Genomic DNA, 20,252 nt, shown 5'->3' with positions numbered 1-20,252 from the left:
CATGGGGTGCCAAGGGCTGGTTAAGTCGAGCAGGTGGCTTGTGGAACAGGTTGAGTGGCGGCTGAACCCCGGCCCTCGCCCGCCTGCTCGCTTGCTCCTTTGCTTACCTGGCATCTGCACCAAGCATTGGAGGAAGGGGGGCCTCTTTCTCAGACCCTGAATATGGGGGGCAGGTCCTCTCGTCTTGGGCTCCAGCTCACAGGGAAAACCCTGCTGTGCCAGCCCCTCCCTAACCTGTGCAGGCCCAGGGCACCCCCAGGAGCTTCTCGAGTCTCCTTCGTCCCCACTTTGCGCTTGTAGCGGTCGTGCCTGGCCCCAGCGCTGTCCCCCAGTGACTCTGGGGCATGGTGGTGCTGATGCTGTGAGCATTTCCGTTAATCTCTGTGAGTGACAGGCTCTAGGATCCGGAGAGGGGAGTTCACTCGGCCGCCCCGGGCCTGGTCCGTGGGGTCTGAGTTGTGTTTCCTGAAGCAACCTTGCTCTATGCGTCTTCCCACTGTTGACTGCAAAGCTGGATAGTCATATGGGGGTGCCTTGCCCGCACATTCCCTGTCTAGGCACACAGGTGACAGGTTACACGTAGGCAGGAGTTTCTGCTCAGTGTGGCTGGCTGAGGGCAGCAGGGAGAGCTAGGGTCACCTTGGGCTTCTGCAGGTGGTTCTGGTGTGTTTCTCTAGGGCCACTAGGATGAGAACTGCTAGTCCATCTGAGGACACACAGCTAAGACAAAGCCACATCTGGGTTGGCAGACATTACAGCGGCCTAGGGGAGAAGGGCGTTCTTGCTGCCTGTGCCCAGGAGGGGCTGGCCTGGAGCAGAAGGGCAGAGCCTTGGGGCTGTGGCTGAGGGGGCAGTCAGGCAGGCCAGTGGGTACTCCAGCCCTGCCAGTCACTGGCAAGCGTGTGAGAGGTACTGCAGCGGTACCTTCTTGCTGAGCTGCAAAGTGGCCGGAGGGAAAATGAGGCATCTTGTGAGCTCTGTCCCCCTTGGGTTGGTGGTTCGCTGCAACATGGGCCAGGAGAAAGGGTGCAGGGACCAAGGTGGGGTGTTGATGGGTTCAGATGGAATGGGGGCGCTCCGGAGGCTGCACCCGGGCTGTGGGCGTGATTAACACTGCTTCCTAAGTGCCCTTGGGAGTCGCCAGGTTTTGGATGCAGCAGCTCCATCAGAAGCGGTTTAGTGCCAGCTCCATTTGCACCAGGGCCAGGGCTGGGGCAGTGCTGGCTGAGTTTCTCTGTGGACTCCCCTTCTCTGTGTCCTTGCCTAGGCCTCTGTTTCCTCCTCTGCAAAATGAGGGTGGTGAAGAAACCACCCGTCAGGTTACTGGGGGCACTCGGAGCTGATGCACGTGACGTGCAAATGACGGTCACTCAGCACCTGGCGGGAATCGGGGCTCAGCACCTCGCACTGGTGCTGAAACTGGTGTCATCAGCGCCGTTCTGGGCATCACCCCTGTCCCAGCGGTGCCGAGGGACATGGTACCTCCTGCAAATGATCAGCTTTCACCTCCCCCTGCTTGCCTCAGTTTACCCATACACCTCTTGGTGTGTTCTCCTGGGATCTTTTTGTTCTAGACTCTCACAGCCAGGAGGACCCGGTACCCGCCTGGAATCCCAGGGAATGACGGAGGCAGGGTCTGAACACGGGCTTCCCACACAGAGCCCGAGTCTCCTTTCAGCCGTCCAGGGCTTTGTGGAACCCCAGCGTTCAAAGTGGCTTTGGCACTGGTCAGGCCTCCAGGGTCCTGGGTGGCCTTGGCTCCCACCCCAGCCCCTGTGCCCACCAGGGGGCAGCAGAGATTGCAGTTCCCAGGAGCCCATATATCAGCCTGTTTATTAGTGGAATAAAAGTCGTTGGCAACGGCAGGGCTTTTCGGGGCTGCATAAATCTGCGTCTGTGCCTCGTGAAACCCATATGTGCTTAATTCATATGTAAAGTTTCAAGCAGGAAGAGAATACGTGTCCATTAAATTCTATTTGACTTGATTATAATCATTAGCCGTGAATAATTGCTTCTCAGTGCCTACCACGGAGCCACCACAATAAGCCAGAGGAGAGAGCAATTATCTTGGGGTGGGGATTTTTAAATTTATATTTTTGAAGCCAGGAGCAGTGCTGGCCCCGCGGGCGTCAGTGGCCCATGGAGAACGCCGTGGGTCACACTGGGCTGGGAGCTTGAGATCTGGCCGCCCGCCGGAGCTTCTGGATTTTGTTGTGGGGAACAGTTCTCTTTGTTCCTGCTGCCATATGGGAGGGGCTGTCGCTGCCTGGGCTTGGGTCCAGCTGCAGGGATGTGGAGGGGAAGGGTGCAGTGGGAGCTAGGAGAGGGCTGTGAGGGAAAGGGGGCGGGGAGAGCTCCCAACCCCCCACCCTCCTCCATCCTGAAAAGCTGTGGGGTTGAAGGGGTCTCCAGCCAGGCTGTGGGCATCTCTCTTGCCACTCAGCAGGGCCCTGGGGATCCTTGGAGAGGGCAGTTGCCAGGTGTCCCCCTGCCCGCCCCCCTCACTCTTTCCCCTCCCTGAAGAGGCATCTGCCTGTGACCTCCGTCAGGCCATTGAGAATCGGACCCTGGGCGGGACGTAGTAGCTCACTCCTGTAATCCCAGCACCGTGGGAGGCCGAGACGAGAGGATCACTTGAGCTCGGGAGTTTGAGACCAGCCTGGCCAACATAGTGAGACTCTATCTCTACAAAAAAAAAAATAATACGGCATGGTGGTGTGTGCCTATAATCCCAGCTACTCAGGAGGCTGAGGCAGGAGGATTGCTTGAACCTGGGAGGTTGAGGCTGCAGTGAGCCATGGTTGTGCCACTGCACTCCAGCCTGGGTGACAGAGTGAGACCCTATCTAAAATATATATATATATATAATAGAACATCAGATTCTGGGCCAGGTACGATGGCTCACACCTGTAATCCCAGAACTTTGGGAGGCTGAGACAGGCGGATCACTTGAGGTCAGGAGTTTCGAGACTAGCCTGGCCAACATGGCGAAATCCCATCTCTACTAAAAATACAAAAATTAGCCAGGCGTGATGGCATGCACCTGTAATCCCAGCTACTTGGGAGGCTGAGGTAGGAGAATCACTTGAACCCAGGAGGCTGAGGCAGGAGGATTGCTTGAACCTGGGAGGTCAAGGCTGCAGTGAGCCATGATTGTGTTACTGCCTTCCAGCCTGGGCAACAGAGTGAGACTCCATCTCAAAAAAAAAAAAAGAAAGAAAGAAAATCAGACTCTGAGGCTGCAGGCGGTGGCTCACTCTTGTAATCCCAGCACTTTGAGAGGCTGAGGCAGGAAGATTGCTTGAGCCCAGGAGTTTGAGACCAACTTGAGCAACACAGTGGCACCCTATCTCTACCAAAAAAAAAATTAAAAAAGATTAGTAGGGTGTGGTGGTGCATGCCTGTAGTCCAGCTACTTGGGAGGCTGAAGTGGGAGGACTGCTTGAGCCTGGGAGGTCGAGGCTGCAGTGAGCTGTGACTGTGCCATTGCACTGCAGCCTGGGCAACAGAGTGAGATGCTGTCTCAAAAAACAAATAAAAATAAGAAAATCAGATTCTGTTTCCCTACTGATCTCCTGGCATTTGAAATTCAGGACTGGTTTCCACTCTTACATTATTGGGCTATGAGATGTGATTGGGATGTGTGTGATGGTGTGTGTGTGAGGTCAGGAGTTTGGCCTGTGTGTGTGATGTGTGCGGTGCGTGTGTTTGTGATGTAGCATGTTTGTGTCTGTGCTTGTGTGATGCGTGGGGTGTGTGTGATAGAGTGTGTGTGTGAGGTCAGGAGTTTGGCCTATGTGTGTGGGGTGTGCGTATGCATTTGTATGATGTGTGTGATGCGTGTGTGTGCGTGATGTGTGTGTGTCTGTGCTTGTGTGATGCATGGGGTGTGGGTGATGGAGGGTGTGTGTGGTGTGATGTGTGTTTGTATGGGATGTGGTGGGAGTGAGGTGGGAGGTTGGGCAGAAGCATAGAAGTGGGGATGCCTGGCTGGCGGGTGGCAGGGCTTGAAGTTGCAGGGACGGAACAAACCCCCACACCCTCAGGCACAGTGCAGGCCTCCCTGGGCCCTGTCCCCGTGGGCTGCCAGCTGAGGCCACTTGCTTGGGTAGCACCCGGGAGAGTCTCAGGTTCCTGCCATCTGTGTCGGCCACGGCTCCTGCCCACAGGAGCATGGCGCATCCGTCTTAATGAAATTGGGCTGCCATGTGCAGGAGATAAGCCAGGGAGCCCCCGCAGGCCCCCTCTTCTGGAGGAGGAGGTTCTCAGAGCCGGTGCCTGCCTCTCCAGCCTTGCCTATGACCTCAGTCCTGTGTCTGGGGAGAGCGCCGGTCTCAGGGTATCCACTAGGGGGTGCTGTGGCTGCCAGGGTGTTTATGTCTCCTTTTTACCACGGGGGTGCAGTGACCTTGACTAGGCCACCTCCCTGCCCTTGAGTTTCCTGGTGCACCAGACCTGTGTGTGTGGACTTCTTGTTCCTGACAGATAGCAGAGTCCTGGGCAGGACATGTCCGGGCACAAAGAAAGATCCCCATTCTTGGCCAGGCACGGTGGCTCACGCCTGTTATCCTAGCACTTTGGGAGGCCGAGGCGGGCGGATCGCTTGAGGTCAGGAGTTTGAGAGCAGCCTGGCCAACATGGTGAAACCTGGTCTCTACTAAAAATACAAAAATTAGCCGGACACAGTGGCATGCGCCTGTAGTCCCAGCTAGTCAGGAGGCTGCGGCAGAAGAATTGCTTGAACCTGGGAGGTGGAGGTTGCGGTGAGCCGAGATTGTGCCACTGCACTCCATCCTGGTTGCTGGGTGACAGAGCAAGATTCCATCTCAAAAAAAAAGAAAAATCCCCATTCTTGGCCAACCCAGGGGTCCAGCTGCCTGGCTTTGGCCTTCATGTCATAAGAGGACAGGGCAGAGATGGATGAAAGGCTTTGTGCAAAGATGGAAGGGATCTTTTGTTTCAATGCCAGCCCAGAGCAGTGAGCATGGGCTGTGCGCACCGTGGCCAGGAGCAGGTCAGGGTCCCAGCACCCCTGCTGGCCACTCCGTGGCCTCTACTTCCTCATCTGAGAAATGGCATCAGCATCAGTTCCACCGAAGGGCAGGGGTGAGGAGGACAGGAGTTCAGGCCTGTCCAGCCCTGGGCCCAGGGCCTGGCACACGGAGAGTCCCCAGGAAATGATTACTGGGAAGTCAGGAGCGAGAGCTACTAAGCAGAGTATAATGTGACAAAGTGCTAGGAGCAAGGTCTGAACAAAGTGCCACGCAACGCCGCAGGGACCAATTAATTCTGCAAGGAGGTGGCGGGAGGCGAGGCGGGTCAGCTAGCCTTTGAGGGGCCCAGGTGTGCGGCGGGGACGGGTGGGAAGCCATGTTTCACAGCGACAAGCCGACCTCGCAGGGAGATTTTTAAGCCGCTTATTTATTTAAAATAAGTCATGAAGTGGCGCTCTATCTCCTTAAGTCTTGGGGCTTTGATTTGTGAGAATCTGCTGGCCGCTTATCACCGCCCTCCTCCCAAGCACCGGCAGCCCCTGCCTCATCCTCTCCTGCCGCCTGGAGGGCCCAGCAGAGCCTGGCCTGGTGAGAAGGAGCAGGCCAGAACCTGAGTGGCCACCTGAGCGGCCACCCGCCCCTGCGTCCGGCTGTCCCTGGGCACTGCTTGGAGTCAGTGATTTAGAGACCGCCTTGATGGACTACCAAGCAGGGGCCCCGCAGGGATGCGGACTGCCTTGTGGGAAGTGATCTGACGCTGAACTGTCGCCGTAAATCGCTTTATCTGTCACTTCAGATTTTAATGTGTTTGCTGAGGCTTGCCGGCCACCACGACAGCAGAAACCTCTCCGCAGTGGGCAGGGGAGATGGCCGGGCCAGCGACGAGTCCAGGGCTGGCTGTACAGCAGACTTTGCAGCTGGAACCTGTTAGCAACATGGGCCTGGCCCTGGGCTCCCTCCTCCTCGGGGAAGCCAAGCGCAGGTGGGGCCGGGCTCCCTCCTCCTCGGGGAAGCCAAGAGCAGGTGGGGCCGGGCCACTTTCCGGTGCCCTGGCCACTCTGGATGTGCTCAGTGCTCTCAGAGGCCCGAGAGGCAGGCAGGATTGTTACCCCATTTTCGGGGATCAGATAACAAGCCCCACCTCGGCAGGTGACTGAGCCAGAATTCGAACTCAGGCACTTTCATCCATGCAACATACATAGATGATACGGCTGCTGTGCACCACGCCGTGGGGTGGGCCTGGGCTGCAAAGGACACAGTCTCTAATTCCGGATAAGGGGTAACACATGTGAATGGAAAAGGAACCATGGTGCATGAGAGGCAGGAGTCTGGCCTACAGGGGAGGGAAGCAGTGGGGAAGGCTGCCTGGAGGAGAGGGTGCTTGGGTTGGACGGGGTGCTAAGTCAGAAGTCGGGGCAAGAGCATTCTGTGGGGAGAGAGCACAGACAGGGAGGGGCGAGGTGGACGGGACACTGTGGGAAGGCTCTGAGGGGTCTGGAGTGAGCCACGGCCGGGGCCTGAGTTGGGGGGGCTTGGTCAGATCACTTGGGCTGCTAGGTGGAAAAATGGGGGCAGGGAGCATAAGATAATAAGGACAGGGAGACCCAGAGCTTGGGGTGGGAGGTGTCTCCCTCTAGGTCTAGGCTGCATTCATACCGTGTGCAGTTAATCTCTCTTGCACTATATCAGTCTCATTGTGCTAATGGTGAAATGGAGGCTCAGAGATGTGAAACAACTTGCTAAAGGTCACACAGCTAAATGGTAGTAGAGCTGGGATGGGAGGTTTGCCGAGCTCCAGAGCCCCCAGGAAATTGTGTGTGTGTGTGTGTGTGTGTGTGTGTGTGTGTGTGTGTGTGTGTGTATGTGTGTGTCGGGGTTGGGGGAAGGGAATACCTCCTCTCTGTTCTCTTTTTTTTGGTTGATGAATTTGAGTTCTGAGAGTGGGTGTGTCCTGTCTGTCCTCACGGCCAGGAAACTGAGAGGTGGGGCAGAAGTTTGCCACAGCGGGGAGGGGTCGTTGTAAAAAAGATGGGACCAACATCTGAATCTGGGCTCCTGGGTCCCCTGAGGCCTCCTGGTGGGCTCCAGCTCCCTCAGCCTGCCCGGTATCCTGTGTCCCAAGCCCCCTCAAGTCCCCGGCATGCCCCATGGAGCTCCGGCTCTGGACTGAGGGCAGCCTGTCACCTGCCGCTTGGTACTGAGTGTTCCTTCTGCTCAACACGCTGCACACGTTGCCTCGTGTCTGAGTCAGGCACTGACATTTCCCCCATTATACAGATGAGGACACTGAGGCACCCACAGGTCACGGCTCTGGGTAAAAGGCAGGGCTGGGAATCAAACCCTCATCTTTCAGATTTGGGGTTTAAGAGAGAGACCATCAGGTTTTTTTCTTTCTTTTTCCTTTCTTTCCTTTCTTCCTTCCTTTCTTTCCCTTTTTCCTTTCTTTCCTTCCTCTCTTCCTTTCCTCCCTCCCTCCCTCCCACCCTCCCTTCTTTCCTTTTTTTTGACAGGGTCACACTGTTCCCCAGGCTGGAGTACAGTGGTGCAATCATGGCTCACTGCAGCCTCCACCTCCTGGGGTCAAGCGTTCCTCCCATCTCAGCATCCTGAGTAGCAGGGACCACAGGCATGCCACCCCTCCCAGCTAATTTTTTTATTTTTTGTAGAGACGAGGTCTCGCCATGTTGCCCAGGCTGATTTTGAACTCCCAGGCTCAAGCAATCTACCTGCCTCAGCCTCCCAAAGTGCTGGGACTACAGCCGTGAGCCACCATGCCCGGCCCAGTTTTGCTTTTTCACCAGCTCCCTCTGGGTCGTCTGGAAGTGAGGGGCAGAGTTGATCAGGGGGGCCAGTCAGGATGCCTGGGGTCCAAGAGGCCCCCTCCCCACATTAGAAAGCCCGGAACACCCAGACACAGCCAGGAGCTAATTTCCGCCAGTGCAAGAGGAGGGCGGCTCATCCCCACAAGATCGGGCAGTGGTTACATAAATTCATAAATGATGGATCCCTCCTGAATTATTGAGATGCCCTTGTGGGCTCGCAGGGTCTGGTCCAGTGAGTGGAGCATTGGCTGGGGGGCGGCACTCAGAAAGGACCTTCCAGGGTCCTTCCACCCCAAGGTCTTCCGCCCCGTCCCCTGCTTCTTACCTGAAGTTCTTCTGTCATTTCCATGGGGAATGTGAGAGTAGACTGTGGACCCAGTAGCTCTCTGTCCTGGGTTTCAGTAGATTTATTTTGTAAATTTTTTTGTAGAGGTAGGGTTTCCCTGTGTTGCCCAGGCTGATCTCAAACTCCTGAGCTCAAGTCATCCTCTTGCCTTGGCTTCCCAGCATGGTCGGATTACAGGTGTGAGCCACCATGTCTGACCTGATGTTTGTTGAATGAATAAGTGACTCCATGCCCTTGAGAGTTGGTCAGATGGTGGGAGGGGCTGCACGAATCAGTGACACCCTCTAAGTCCCCTCTTCCTGCCTAGCCCAGCCCCCTACCCCACCCCTCTAGGCCTGAAGGGGCTGATCCATTTTACAGATTAGGATGGTGGTGGGCATTTCTAGGTCCTTATGAGGTTCCTGGCTCCTTTTGAGGTGCTGGAGGTACAAGGCCCAGTGTAACCCAGTGCCTGCCCTCCTGGCATTTGGCGTCCTGTAGAGGAGGACAGGGGAGGATCTAAAGCCCAGAGGGGGACAGTGACCTGTTCAGGGTCACACAGCAGGAAGGTGGCAAAGCAGAACTACAAACCCAAGGGCCTTTTCTCCCCCTCGCGGCAGACTCGTAGTTAGAAAACCCCAGCTAGGAGTCTGCTGCCCCCACATGGGGTGGCCACCCTGCCTCCTACCCTGTGCCCAGTGTCCCGAGCACATCCTCTGTGGCTCCTTCCTGTCCTTGAGGCCTCAGCGCCTGCACCTGTGCCCCTGCTTGCGTCCCCGGTGTGCTGTCCACCCGAGCACTGAGCCGAGGAGGCCGGAGCTTGTGGGAATGTGTGTGTTTTGAAATTAATGGGGACCATTAAATTGGCCAAGCATGAAAAGGGCTGGATCTGCAGCCCTTGGCTCGCTCTCCTGGAATGATCCGCCAGTTCCTTGGCAAGGCACAGCCGAGCTGGTTTCAGGGCTCCCCAGGAGGCCGTGGCTTGCCTGCCCGTTTAACGGATGGGTACTCTGTGTGCCTAGGATATGAAGGGGTCTGGCTGCAGCAGCACGTGGTGGCCACAGTGCCCCCGCTCCCCGGCTCTGTGCAGATGGCAATGTCTGTGGGTGCGTTGACTTGAATCTTTTCCCTAGACCTCTAGAGTGGGCTCAGACACTCTCCAGACCCTGACCCTGGGGCTTCCTGGATGAGTCCTGGCCGGGCCTGGTGCCAGCTTGGCGTGGCCTCCAGGACATAGCAGGATTAACAGTCAAGGACCCAGGCCCCGTCTCCTCACCTCCCCCACCACGAATAGCCCCATCTACTGTGGATTCTCCATGTGGACATTTTCTTAAAGATAGGGTCTTGCTCTGCCACCCAGGCTGGAGTACACTGGTGTGACCACAGCTCACTGCAGCCTTGACCTCCTGGGCTCAAGCAATCCTCCCACCTTAGCCTCCCGAGTTGCTGGGACCACAGGCTCATGCAACCATGCCCAGCTAATTTTTGTATTTTTGGTAGAAGTGGATTTACACCATATTGCCCAGGCTGGTCTCAAACTCCTGGGCTCAAGTGATCCTCCTGCCTAGGCCTCCCAAAGTGCTAGGATTACAGGCATGAGCCACTGTGCCTGGCCATATGGGACATCTTGTAACTGGGAGTTGGAGTCCTGGGTACAAGTCCTGGCTTCACCGTGTACCAGCTTTGTGACCTTGGGCAAATCACTTAACCTCTCTGAGCCTGTTTTCTTGTCTGTAAAACAGGGATAAGAGTGCATGGGGACCCAGCCCCCAGCACTGTGGGTTTGAGAGGAGACTGCTTGTGTAGGATGCTCAGTACAGTGTCTGGCACAGAGTGAGCGCCCAGGAGATGCCAGCTCTAGTTCTTGTTGCCATAGCTGCTGCTCTGGGAGGGCTGCTGAGACCCGCTGAACCGGGCATCCCATCAGCCAGCACCTGCCCTGCACCCAGCCCTTGGTGGGGCTGGGAACGGGGGAATGGTCCCTCTATCCTGAACAGGCTGAAGGCACCTCCTTCCCATATTCGTGGTAGGGAATCGAGTCACCTGCTGGACCTGGCATGGCCGAGGGGACGGCCCTCTCCTGACTGCCAGAGTCTCTTGGATGGGCTTCCTGACCATGAGGGCACAGGGCAGGCAGCCTGGGCCCCTCACTCCCCACTGCCAGCAAGGCGGTCCATGCCTGCTCTGCCTTCCATTGGGAAAGATGTGTGGTCACATGGAAACGGCCTGTGCAGTGGGGCGTGAGGTGGGCTAGGACAGGGGATGTCCCCAGAGAAGCCAGGTGACTGAAGTGGCCCTGTCAGGGCCTGGCTGCCATCTGCTGAGGCCTAAGCTGCCAGAGAAGACCCCTGAAGGCCTTCAGGGGTGGGGTGGAGGGCGCTGGCATGCTTGGTTGGCCAGCTTTGGAGGTCCCAGAGGCCAGGGCAGTGGCTGCTTACCAGACAGAACTGGCTAAGATCTGGTTCCTCCACTATGTTGGGCAAGCCCCTGCCTCTTTTTTTTTTCTTTTTTTGAGACTGAGTCTCGCTCTGTCACCCAGGCTAGAGTGCAGTGGCGTGATCTCGGCTCACTGCAAGCTTCGCCTCCCAGGTTCATGCTATTCTCCTGCCTCAGCCTCCCGAGTAGCTGGGATTACAGGCGCCCGCCACCACGCCCGGCTAATTTTTTGTATTTTTAGTAGATACGGGGTTTCACCGTGTTAGCCAGGATGGTCTTGATCTCCTGACCTCGTGATCCGCCCGCCTCCACCTCCTAAAGTGCTGGGATTACAGGCATGAGCCACCGCACCCGGCCAGCCCCTGCCTCTTTAGGCCTTGGGGTTTCCCATCTGTTCCTTATGGGGGCATTAATAGGAAAAAAATGCATTACCACACTGGAGGGGCTCATAAACGGTAGTGACTGTTATTAGCAGTGAGGGATCTCACTTCACCACCCACAGGACTCCGAGCCCCTCGAGGGCAGGGGCAGCTCCATGGACTCTGGGTCTCCGTCCCTGGACAGGGCTCCTCTGCGGTGGGGGCAGCCCGAGCATGCCTGCCCCTGGAAGGACATACAGGAACTCATGATGGCTCATGGCTAAGGAGTCTTATGGGGAAGCAGGCTGCCCTGGTGGGCACGGCTGTGTGGGAGTCTCCTGCTCTGTCCACTCCTGGCAGGGGCAGGGACGCGGCTGTTTATATCCGCGCCGGGTGTCAGGAGATGGAAGCCAGGGAGGACGGGAGGATGCAGGAGCATGGAGAGCATGTGGGCTGCAGATCCGGGGGAGGATGGGCACCAGGACAGAGCTTGTCCTGACAGTGGTGCGGGAGGCAGTGAGCAGAGGTGGGGCTGAGAGGTCACTGGCGGCTTCCTCCACTGAGGCATGGCTGGCATTCCCTTCGGTTCATTAAAACCCATCAGTGGGCCGGGCGCGGTGGCTCACGCCTATAATCCCAGCACTTTGGGAGGCCAAGGTGGGTGGATCACCTGAGGTCAGGAGTTCAAGACCAGCCTGGCCAAGATAGTGAAACCCTGTCTCTACAAAAATACAAAAATTAGCTGGGCATGATGGCAGGTGCCTGTAATCCCAGCTACTCGGGAGGCTGAGGCAGGAGAATTGCTTGAACCTGGGAGGCAGAAGTTGCAGTGAGCTGAGATGGTGCCACCGCACTCCAGCCTGGGCGACAGAGCAAGACTCTGTCTTAAAAAAAAAAAAAATCCCCATCAGTGGCACCCACCTCCTGGCGGCAACAAGTGGCCCTTGAACGCCCATTCCCCACTCTCCTCCTCCCCGCTGCTGCCTCCTCCCTGTCTTCGGACATTGTAATTGCGGTAAAAACCAGAGCCGAGCGGCATCGCAGTTGGGGAGAGAGGCCCGGCTGTCAGCCATTCCTCTGCCAGCAGGGCCCGCGGCTGTTTTATTATTGCCGCCTGGCTGTATTTCAGGTACGGTTTAAACATCATCAAACGCCACATCCCTTTTGAAAAGCAAGAGCTACCTTGCTGAGGACGTTGAGGAGAAACAGGAACATTAAAATCTACGAAGCAAATGGCCCAGAATTGACATTTGTGAGGAGAGCTTTGCAGCTTCAATTGTCAAAGGAGCTAAATCCCCTCTGGCAGCCTGCGGGGAGCTTTCCCCGTGAGGGTCACAGGAAGGTGGGGTATGTTTGCGCGGGAGGAGACCAGGCAGTGCCGGGGAGGGGGTTCTGTGGGTCAGCTGACTGCCTCTCAGGGCCTCCCTGGCCTCGGCCTCCACCCAGCCTCCTCTTCCTCCTAACAAGGAGGCAGGAGCCTTCCGGTGCGCATGGGACAGGGCTGGGTTCAAGTCCTGCTGTGGCCACTTGCTAGCTCTTGTGACCTTGGCCGGGATACACCTCTCCCCTGAACCTCAGTTTCCTCACCTGTAAACCCAGGAGAGCGATGTCCCCTCTGAAGGCAGAGGATGGTGCATGCAAACACTTGACAAGTCATTGGAATTCAGTAAATGGTGACTGCTGTCACCAAGGAAATGGGCATATGAGTTGGCATTAATTTTTTAAAAAACATTTACTTATTTCCACTGAAAAATAGGAACAGTAAAATTGAGAACCATTAAAACAGGAACAAAAAGAACCAAGCCACAGCAGGGGATGCTGAGCTGGGTATCTCCTAAGAACTGTGCTCCTGGTCCCACCTGGAACTCTGCGGCCTGGATGCCCTCAGCACGTGCTTTCCAGGCCACCAGCCTCTTGCCTGGTTCCTGGTCACGGCCTGCTCTCTGCCCTGGCACCTGCTACTCGATGCTGGTGTGTGGCCTTCCGAGGAACTACGGCTCATATCTGCCCTTGTAGTTTACACTCTCGATGGCTACTTGGGGGTATCTTGGCTCCTGGTATCCTCTCCTGACCCGGCCCAGATGACACCTCAAAACTAGGCTGAGCAAATCTGTTGCAACTGAATATGAGATGCAGCTCTGAGCTTCCCAGCAGCCACTGCAAAATTTGTAACAAGATTTTAGGATCCATAACTCCAAGCTTGGAAGTCAATTTAAGTTTCAGCTGAATGCCTTCTTTTCTTTCTCCTCTTGGCCTTTTTTCTTCATTTTTCCTCTCTAGTATCCTCACCAACTATTCTTTATCTCCCCCAAGGATGGTTTATCCCTTGCTCCAGAGCCCATCCCAAAGTGCTCGCCCCTCACATGGCTGTGCCCCAGCTCAGGAGACCCCCCCGCCGCTGCCCTCCTATTTGTCACTGTCGACTCCCCTGTGTCGTGCTCACGGCAGCTGGCCTCTGGGCCTCTTGTCTTGCTCAGGCCCACTGGGTCTGCTGTTGCTGTTTCTCTCAGATGAGCCTGTGACTAATAAGGGTTGCCCCTGGGGGGCTGGCAAAATCTTTCCCTCCTTAATATCGGAGTTTAAAAATGTGTCACCATCGATTTGAAGAAAAGCCTTGTTCCTGCTGAGAAAAGCGGCCTGGAGATTCGTCTCGCCTTAGGAATCACACAGGCGGCTGCATGAATTCAGCACCAGAGAGAGCTCTCCATGCAAATGCTGAGATGCCCACTCCAGCCCCGCACCAGCCCTCCCCGCTGCTCCCGGGGGCTGGCACCCCCACTTCCTCATCCCCCCATCCCTGCAGAGACTTGGGGAGGCCCCTGTGCAGGGAGGGGCTCCCTGGTTGGAAGATCCCCATCTCCCGATTCTCTCCACCTCTTTTCAGAGGCTGAGCCCGTGGCTAATTCCACGTCACGATGTGTTCTAATCCCTGAGGAAAAGGAGGATGAGTGACTTCCGGGCCTGGGGCTCCTGGAAGCCACCCGGGTCCCTCACAGGTCGGTGGCGGGGGGTCCCTCTGACCCTCTCCGGTGGGTCTGCCCTGAAGGCAGGAATGTTACCCCCACAGGCCTTGTCTCCTGGCCTTGTTGCATCCTTGCCTGGAAAGGACTGTTGGGGTCCTTTGGTGCATCCCCCAGCCTCCAGGCAGGCCCCTCCCCTCTGGACCTTGCCCTCATACTGGGCCCAGCCTTGCAGCTGCCAACGCATCCCACCCTCATCCAGCAGCTCTCCCAGCCCAGAATAACCATCACAGTCATGGCCTGAGAGGCGGCTATGAGTCCCACTTCTCAGGTTGGGAAGCTATGCTATAGAGACCATAAGTGACTTGTCTGGGATCCAGGAAGCTTGAACCCAGATCTTTTCCCTATGTATCCTGGGAAGTGCCCTTAACTGAATCAATGAATGGGTGAATGAATGAATGAGGAGTTGTGGGCACATGGTGACCACTCTAGGTGTTGTTCTGGTTAGTGAACTTGGTGACAGCCCAGGATGGGTGTGTCTGGAGAGCTTGAGGGAAGGCTGAGCTTTCTGGTCTCTGATGGGATCCACTCCCACTCTGCCATCGAGGTCATGGTGGCCACCTTTGTGGCAGTGTCCTTTCTGTTCCCCAGAGGGCTCAGCCGAGCGTGGCGGGGAGCAGGACGGTGGGTTTGGCTGCCTAGGACGTCCATCGGGCCGCCCACAGCATGGGCCATCCCCTGCGCTGGCTGCAGCAGGGGTGACTTGGACCAGCCGGGAAGCTGCTCCAGGGGTCCTTGCAGGGAGCTTAGTGGGGGAAGGGGAGAGAGGGCAGGCGCGGGGTGCCAACGAGGCTTCCCTGGTTCTTGGGGAACCACACAGCCTTGGGCAGGGGCACCAGAGAAGAGGGTAAGCAGGCAGTTTGCAGTCTCTCTGGCTGCCGTGGGCCCTCGGAACATGTGCTGGGTGGCCATTTACCACCTGGCGCGGGGAAGGCTGCAAGCTGGCCCTGCGCTGCTCCCCTCAAGCTGCAGAAGGGGCCCCTCGAGGACTCCTGGCAGCCGTTACTCTGGGAAAGGAGGGGCTTTATTTTTCCTCCTCCCTAAATGTTATTGCCTTTATAGGCTTTGGAAATCAGTTTTATGGCCTGCGTGTTTGTCCACTGAAATGTGGAATGCTCTGGAGGGAAAATAAAATGCAGGGATGGTTCTGGCCCTGAAAGGTCAGGTGGCCGAGGGCAAGCGGCAAGGGCTCAGGTGTCTCCTGCAAAGCTGAGGGTGGGGTGGAGGGTGGAGTGACTGTGATGGACATGGTGACCTCCAGAGCTGAGCGGCCCTGGCCGGGGTTGCTCTTTAGGGACCGTTGTAGTTGGAAAGGGGGACAGGGAAGGTGTGTGCCAGGACCGGGAGGGGGCCTGGAATTCTAGTGGGAGGGCCGGCCTGAGGCTTCAGGACCTGTTCCATTTGTCATATGGTCCCTGCTAGACTGACCTGGGATGGCGAGAGTCATTCTGTCCTCTGCGATGCCCGGGTATGCCAGCTGGCTCCCCTCAGGTGCCATCTGGGGCACCTTGCCAGCCACTGGCAGTGTAGACTTCTCAGTGTAAGTGAAAAATAAGCCCTCTGGGTTTTACCAGTCAGGATGCAGGCCTGGCAGGGGCCCTCACCTGCAGGAGATGCCTCATCTTCTGGCAGAGTTGGCTGATCGGGAGCCAGGCAGGGGGCAGAGATTCAGCGGGAGCACCCAGCAACCCACACAAATCTCTCTGCCTTCCCTGGGACCGAGGACCCTGGAGGGAGACTCTGAGGGCCCTGCCCTAGGAGAAGGCTGCTTCTCTACTCCTCTCTTAATATGCGAAGAGCTCCTACAAATCAATAAGAAAAATGGGTGAAAGATGTGGACAGGCAATTCCCGGTAGGAGAAAAACAAATGGCCAGTAAACAAGTGAAAAGATGCAGAACTTCGCAAGTAATCAAGAAAAAGCTAATTGAAATGAGAGACATCATTCTTCACCCACTAGAGAGGCGGGTGCTGGAAGTATTGCTGTGTACAGGTGTGGCGCAGCCGGGGAGGCAGGTGCTTCCTCAGGTGCTGTCCCCCACCCCTGCATCTCACACCAAACCCGCATGTAGTAGGTGCCTGGAAATACTTGCTTCATGCCAGGTAAACAGGGCTCCTCTCTGCTCACAGCAAGTCTCAGCGGGGCTGCTGCCGCCACTGCCTTTGTATCCTTTGCTTTCCCTCCTCCCTGTGGGTTCAACTTCCAGTCTCACCCCTACCCCCACCAGCTCCCTTGCCCTTGGGGTCCTCACGCTTCCTTGGCAGAGGCTGGGGTTTCTCTGGGCCTGGCCTCTCACTGGGGGAATGCTGCTTCCTGCTTCAGGGTTTCAACTCTCTCTGCAACCTCATGACTGGTGCCAGGGGTGTACTGCAAAGCTCAGGGTGGGGTGGAATGACTGTGATGGACATGGGGACCTCCAGAGCTGGGCGGCCCTGGCTGTTATCTTGGCTTCTTTGGAATCCCCTGGAATCCTCCACTGTGGGAAGCTCTAGTGGTGACCTCAGCCTTCTTGCCCTGATGGCCACCTCTGTCATCTAGCCCCAGAACTTCTCCTGCCTTTTCTCATTCATTCATTCCCTCTCCTACCCTATCCATTCTAGCCGGGTTGGGTGACTTTGGGCTTTATAGCTGCATGTTCTGTCTCTGCTCCTGGCCTTTGCCTGGGCACTTACCTCTGTCAGGAGCACCCTCTCCTCCATTTCCTTGGCTGACTCCGACCGTCCTCCAGGTCCCAGCTGAGAAACCCTCCCCTCCAGGAACTTCCCCAGACCTGGGTTTGCTGTCGCTCCCATGTAGTCTGTAACAGTCATTCATTCGTTTCATTAATTCCTGCAGCAGGTGCTGGGGCTGCAAGGGGGAACAAGGGAGATGTACCCGGGCAGCTGGGGTGCCCTAGGGTCCTACAAGTCACCCGTCATGACCGGATCCCAGGGGAAAACCTGTCTGAGAGTCAGGGACTGGGGACAGGGGCCCTGGGGCAGTCTGCTCTGGGAATGGCTCAGCTTGCTGCACTGGGAAGGGAGGCTGGGGCGGGTGGCAGGGCCATGCCCATGGGGTCTGGGTCCAGATGTCTTTCTCTGCCTGCTCTACCTGTGTCCAGTGCTTCCGGAGCACAGGGGAGCTGCCTTTTAGGAGGAGATCAAGGGAGAGAACGCGAGCCACACTTCACACGGCCGCAGCCCCGGGCATCTGGCTCGGCCTCCTGCCCTCTCACATTGCGTGTGCCTCCCTATGCAAGGCAGCCAGCAGGAGAGCTCCAGCCTGGGATCCCCAGCAGTCTCCTCTCTTGGCTCCCTCTGTCCCTGTCCCCCATCTTTTGAGGCATAGCCTGGCCTATCCTGTGCCCCTGGCTTCCTGCCAGTCTTCTTTCCAGTTTCCCAAGCTGAGGTGGACGCAACCTTCCTTTCTGCATTCAAAGGGCACGAAGTGATTAAGACCCAGTCCTTGCTCCCTGTGTAGCGGGGCAGCAGGGGCATAGCGTGGGGGCTCCGTGCATCTGTGCAGGAATCCAAGGCGCTGGGGGCTGCTCAGGGACGGCTTCCTGTGGGAGGTCTTCCTGGGGAGGTCTAGTTCCCCACAGGGCGCTCTGGCTGGGGCTCATGGGTGTGCATTTCCCTCCAGCTCACTGACCCTCAGCCTGGTCTCTTCATGAGGCCTCATGGGGCCAGGACTCGGGGCAGTGGGGGGAACCCGGACAGACCTGGTTCCAGAGCTAACTCCGTCACCATTGCCTTGGGCAAGCTGCTTAGATCTGGGCCTTGGTTTGCTGGTTTTAAAATGGGAGTAAGCCAGCCTGCCGCACCTCCCTGCCGTGAGGATGAAGCTCGGTGACAGATGCCTGGCGCCTGGCACCACTGGCCCCCGCTGCCTTGCCTCTCGCAGATGGGCGCCCCTTCAGGAAATCCCCCCTAATTATGAAGTTACAGATCTGGATGGTCACATGGGGAAGAGCCACATTCATTAGGAGACCCGGGCACACAGCCTGGACTGTGCCAAGCATCTCTCTGTGCCAGCTTCCTGAGGACCGCGGGCTCAATAGAGCACATCCCTGCATCTTCCTGGTGGCAGATTCCATCTGCCAGACCCCGAGGAGCCGCTGACTGGGGAGGGCCTGCTCAGGACCCGCCCGTCCCTGGCAACTGCCCTGAAGCCCTTCACCCTGGGTTTGTAATCTCTGCTTTAAAGAGGACTTCAATCCCTTTCCCCTCCCCCCGCCCCACCCCCAGTGACCAATCCATCCGCCAGGGCCCTGATCCAGGAGAAAGCTAATTAAAGAATTTCTGCTCTTGGCTCAGCCTGGACATAGAAGATTCCCCTTGGTCTTCCTGGAATATCTGAAAACAGGTGGAGAAAGGCATCAGATAAGCCCCGGGAGCCTCCATAATAGGCTTAATCCCCCCAAAGCCAGCAGGCATCAAACAGCTCTCCTCCCGGGACCACTGAGAAAGGGCTCGAGAGCTTGGAGGACGTGGGGCTGTTCCTAACCACATCCCAGACTGTAGGTCCCCTTGTCCCCAGCTCCCCATGAATAGGAGACTGTGTTCCTCATGAGTTCAGACGGAGTATCAGCCATTTCTGCATAGTTCTCCAGAGCAGGGGAAGGTGCAGAGACCTGGCCCCAGCAGCTCCGGCATGGGGAGGCCCCACTTCCAGGGCTGCCAGCAGTCACTGTGATGACTGGCATGTAGCAGATGCTCAGTCAAGTGCGCCCCTCCCTCCCGCCACTCACTTCCCTCCGGTTCCCCCTGCCCCCCTCCTCAGCTTCTTTTCTTTCAAGGGCCTGTTTGCCTGTAGGAGATTTTCATCAACCAACCACAAATATTTACTCAACACTTACCGGCAGGCAGCACGTGAGCTCCACAGGGCAGGGGGCTCTCGGTCCCATTTGCTGCATGTTCCCCATCTGAACAGGGCCTGGCATGCAGTAGGTGCTCAATAAAGGCTTGGTTGGTAGTCACAGCCTGAAACAGGGTAGTCTCTGCTCCCAGAGAGCTTACATTCCTGCTGCCTTCAGAAAACATCCTGAGGGGCTGGGCGCGGTGGCTCACTCCTGTAATCCCAGCACTTTGGGAGGCCGATGCGGGTGGATCATTGAAGTTGGGAGTTCAAGACCAGCCTGGCCAACATGGAGAAACCCCATCTCTAGTAAAAATACAAAAATTAGCTGGGCGTGGTAGCACACGCCTGTACACGCAGCTACTTGGGAGGCTGAGGCAGGAGAATCGCTTGAACCTGGGAGGCGGAAGCTGCCGAGATCACCTCACTGTACACCAGCCTGGGTGACAGAGCGAGACTCCATCAAAAAAAAGAAAACGTCCCGAGGGTCTTTGAGGGATCATGGAGCCCCCACACGTGGGTGGGGTGAGGGTCTTAAAGCCTGCCCTCCCCGTCACTCTGAGCTATGGCCAAGCTGGGTGTAACCCTGGAGAGAGTCAGGGTGTCCTCACCCGCTTCAGGCAGCTGGCCCCCATTTCCCTCTGCAGTGCCTGGGGCGGGGGTGACAGGGAGCATTTAGACCCGCAGCTCCCTGCACAGGGACCTCCTGGGGCACTCGCCTGCATCACAAGAATAAAAATGATAAAAACCTGCCACTGAATTCTGGGTGGCAGTAAATTACTTAACACCTGAAACAGGTTGAAATGTGGCCACTGTGGTTTTAATAAGCCCATCTCCGATGCAGTGCTTCCTCGCCGGGCCGGCCAGTTCTCTTCTTGAGGCATAATTTCATCTCGTCCCAGGCTTGGCAGCATTGCAAATAAGATTTCACTTCCCCTGTAAATCTTAGAGGGAGGGAGTGCAGGATTTCATTTGTGCTGTCAGTTAGCACTCCAGAGAGCCTGTTTACTTTGCCGCAGGAGGAGAAGGTCCTCTGGAGGTGCTGGACAGGGTGGCGGGTGGGGAGGTGGCAGTGTCAGCACTGGAAGGTGACGTGGGTGCGGCGGCGGGGAGGCAGCGGCATGTGTGGGGGGGTCCTGGAAGCATGCCTTATTTGGGGTGCCTGAAAGTGGATGAGCCAATGTCAGACCCACGGAGGCAGAATTTCAGGGCCAGCTGGGTGCCCTCCCATGCGTCCGGGACCCTCCTAGGCTGGGTGATAAGACTCAGCCACAGAACTTGGGTGTGGGGGTGTGGCCTGGGGTGTTAGACCCCTCCCAGGTTCCGACGCCTCTTCTTCAGGTTGCTCGGTGAGGCCAGAGACCCCTCCTGGGAAGTAGGGGCAGGAGAAGGGAAGCTTCCAGAACCCAGTGGTAGCCAGGTAAGGGCAGTTTCCAGGTACAGGAAAGCAGCCATGGAGGG

The 20,252-nt window shown here is 57.0% G+C and overlaps 1 protein-coding gene across 6 annotated transcripts in view, besides 1 other annotated feature; it reads left to right on the top strand.

Annotated features, from left to right (window-relative positions):
* Nucleotides 1-20,252, top strand: part of MACROD1 (mono-ADP ribosylhydrolase 1) — a 167,556-nt gene that overhangs the window by 15,505 nt on the left and 131,799 nt on the right. The window contains exon 4 of one of the 6 annotated variants that reach the window (XM_005273940.3): nt 1,575-1,991. The exons of the other annotated variants lie outside the window; for them this stretch is intronic. Coding sequence (XP_005273997.1) covers nt 1,575-1,624 — 50 coding nt within the window. The 3' untranslated portion in view covers nt 1,625-1,991. Of the gene's footprint in view, nt 1-1,574; nt 1,992-20,252 lie in introns of those variants that run through there. 6 annotated transcript variants of the gene reach the window in all.
* Nucleotides 4,141-4,642: an enhancer, noted in NCBI's record as "H3K4me1 hESC enhancer chr11:63913439-63913940 (GRCh37/hg19 assembly coordinates)". NCBI's record gives its function as "activates a minimal SCP1, AML or CMV promoter by ChIP-STARR-seq in naive H9 embryonic stem cells {active_cell/tissue: H9 hESC(naive)}" and the evidence as "EXISTENCE:reporter gene assay evidence [ECO:0000049][PMID:30033119]".

Source organism: Homo sapiens, chromosome 11 (genome assembly GCF_000001405.40).
Source record: "Homo sapiens chromosome 11, GRCh38.p14 Primary Assembly".
Taxonomy (NCBI): Eukaryota; Metazoa; Chordata; class Mammalia; order Primates; family Hominidae; genus Homo; species Homo sapiens.
The sequence above is the reverse complement of the archived record's forward strand: the minus strand, read 5'-3'. Positions and strand labels throughout refer to the sequence as shown.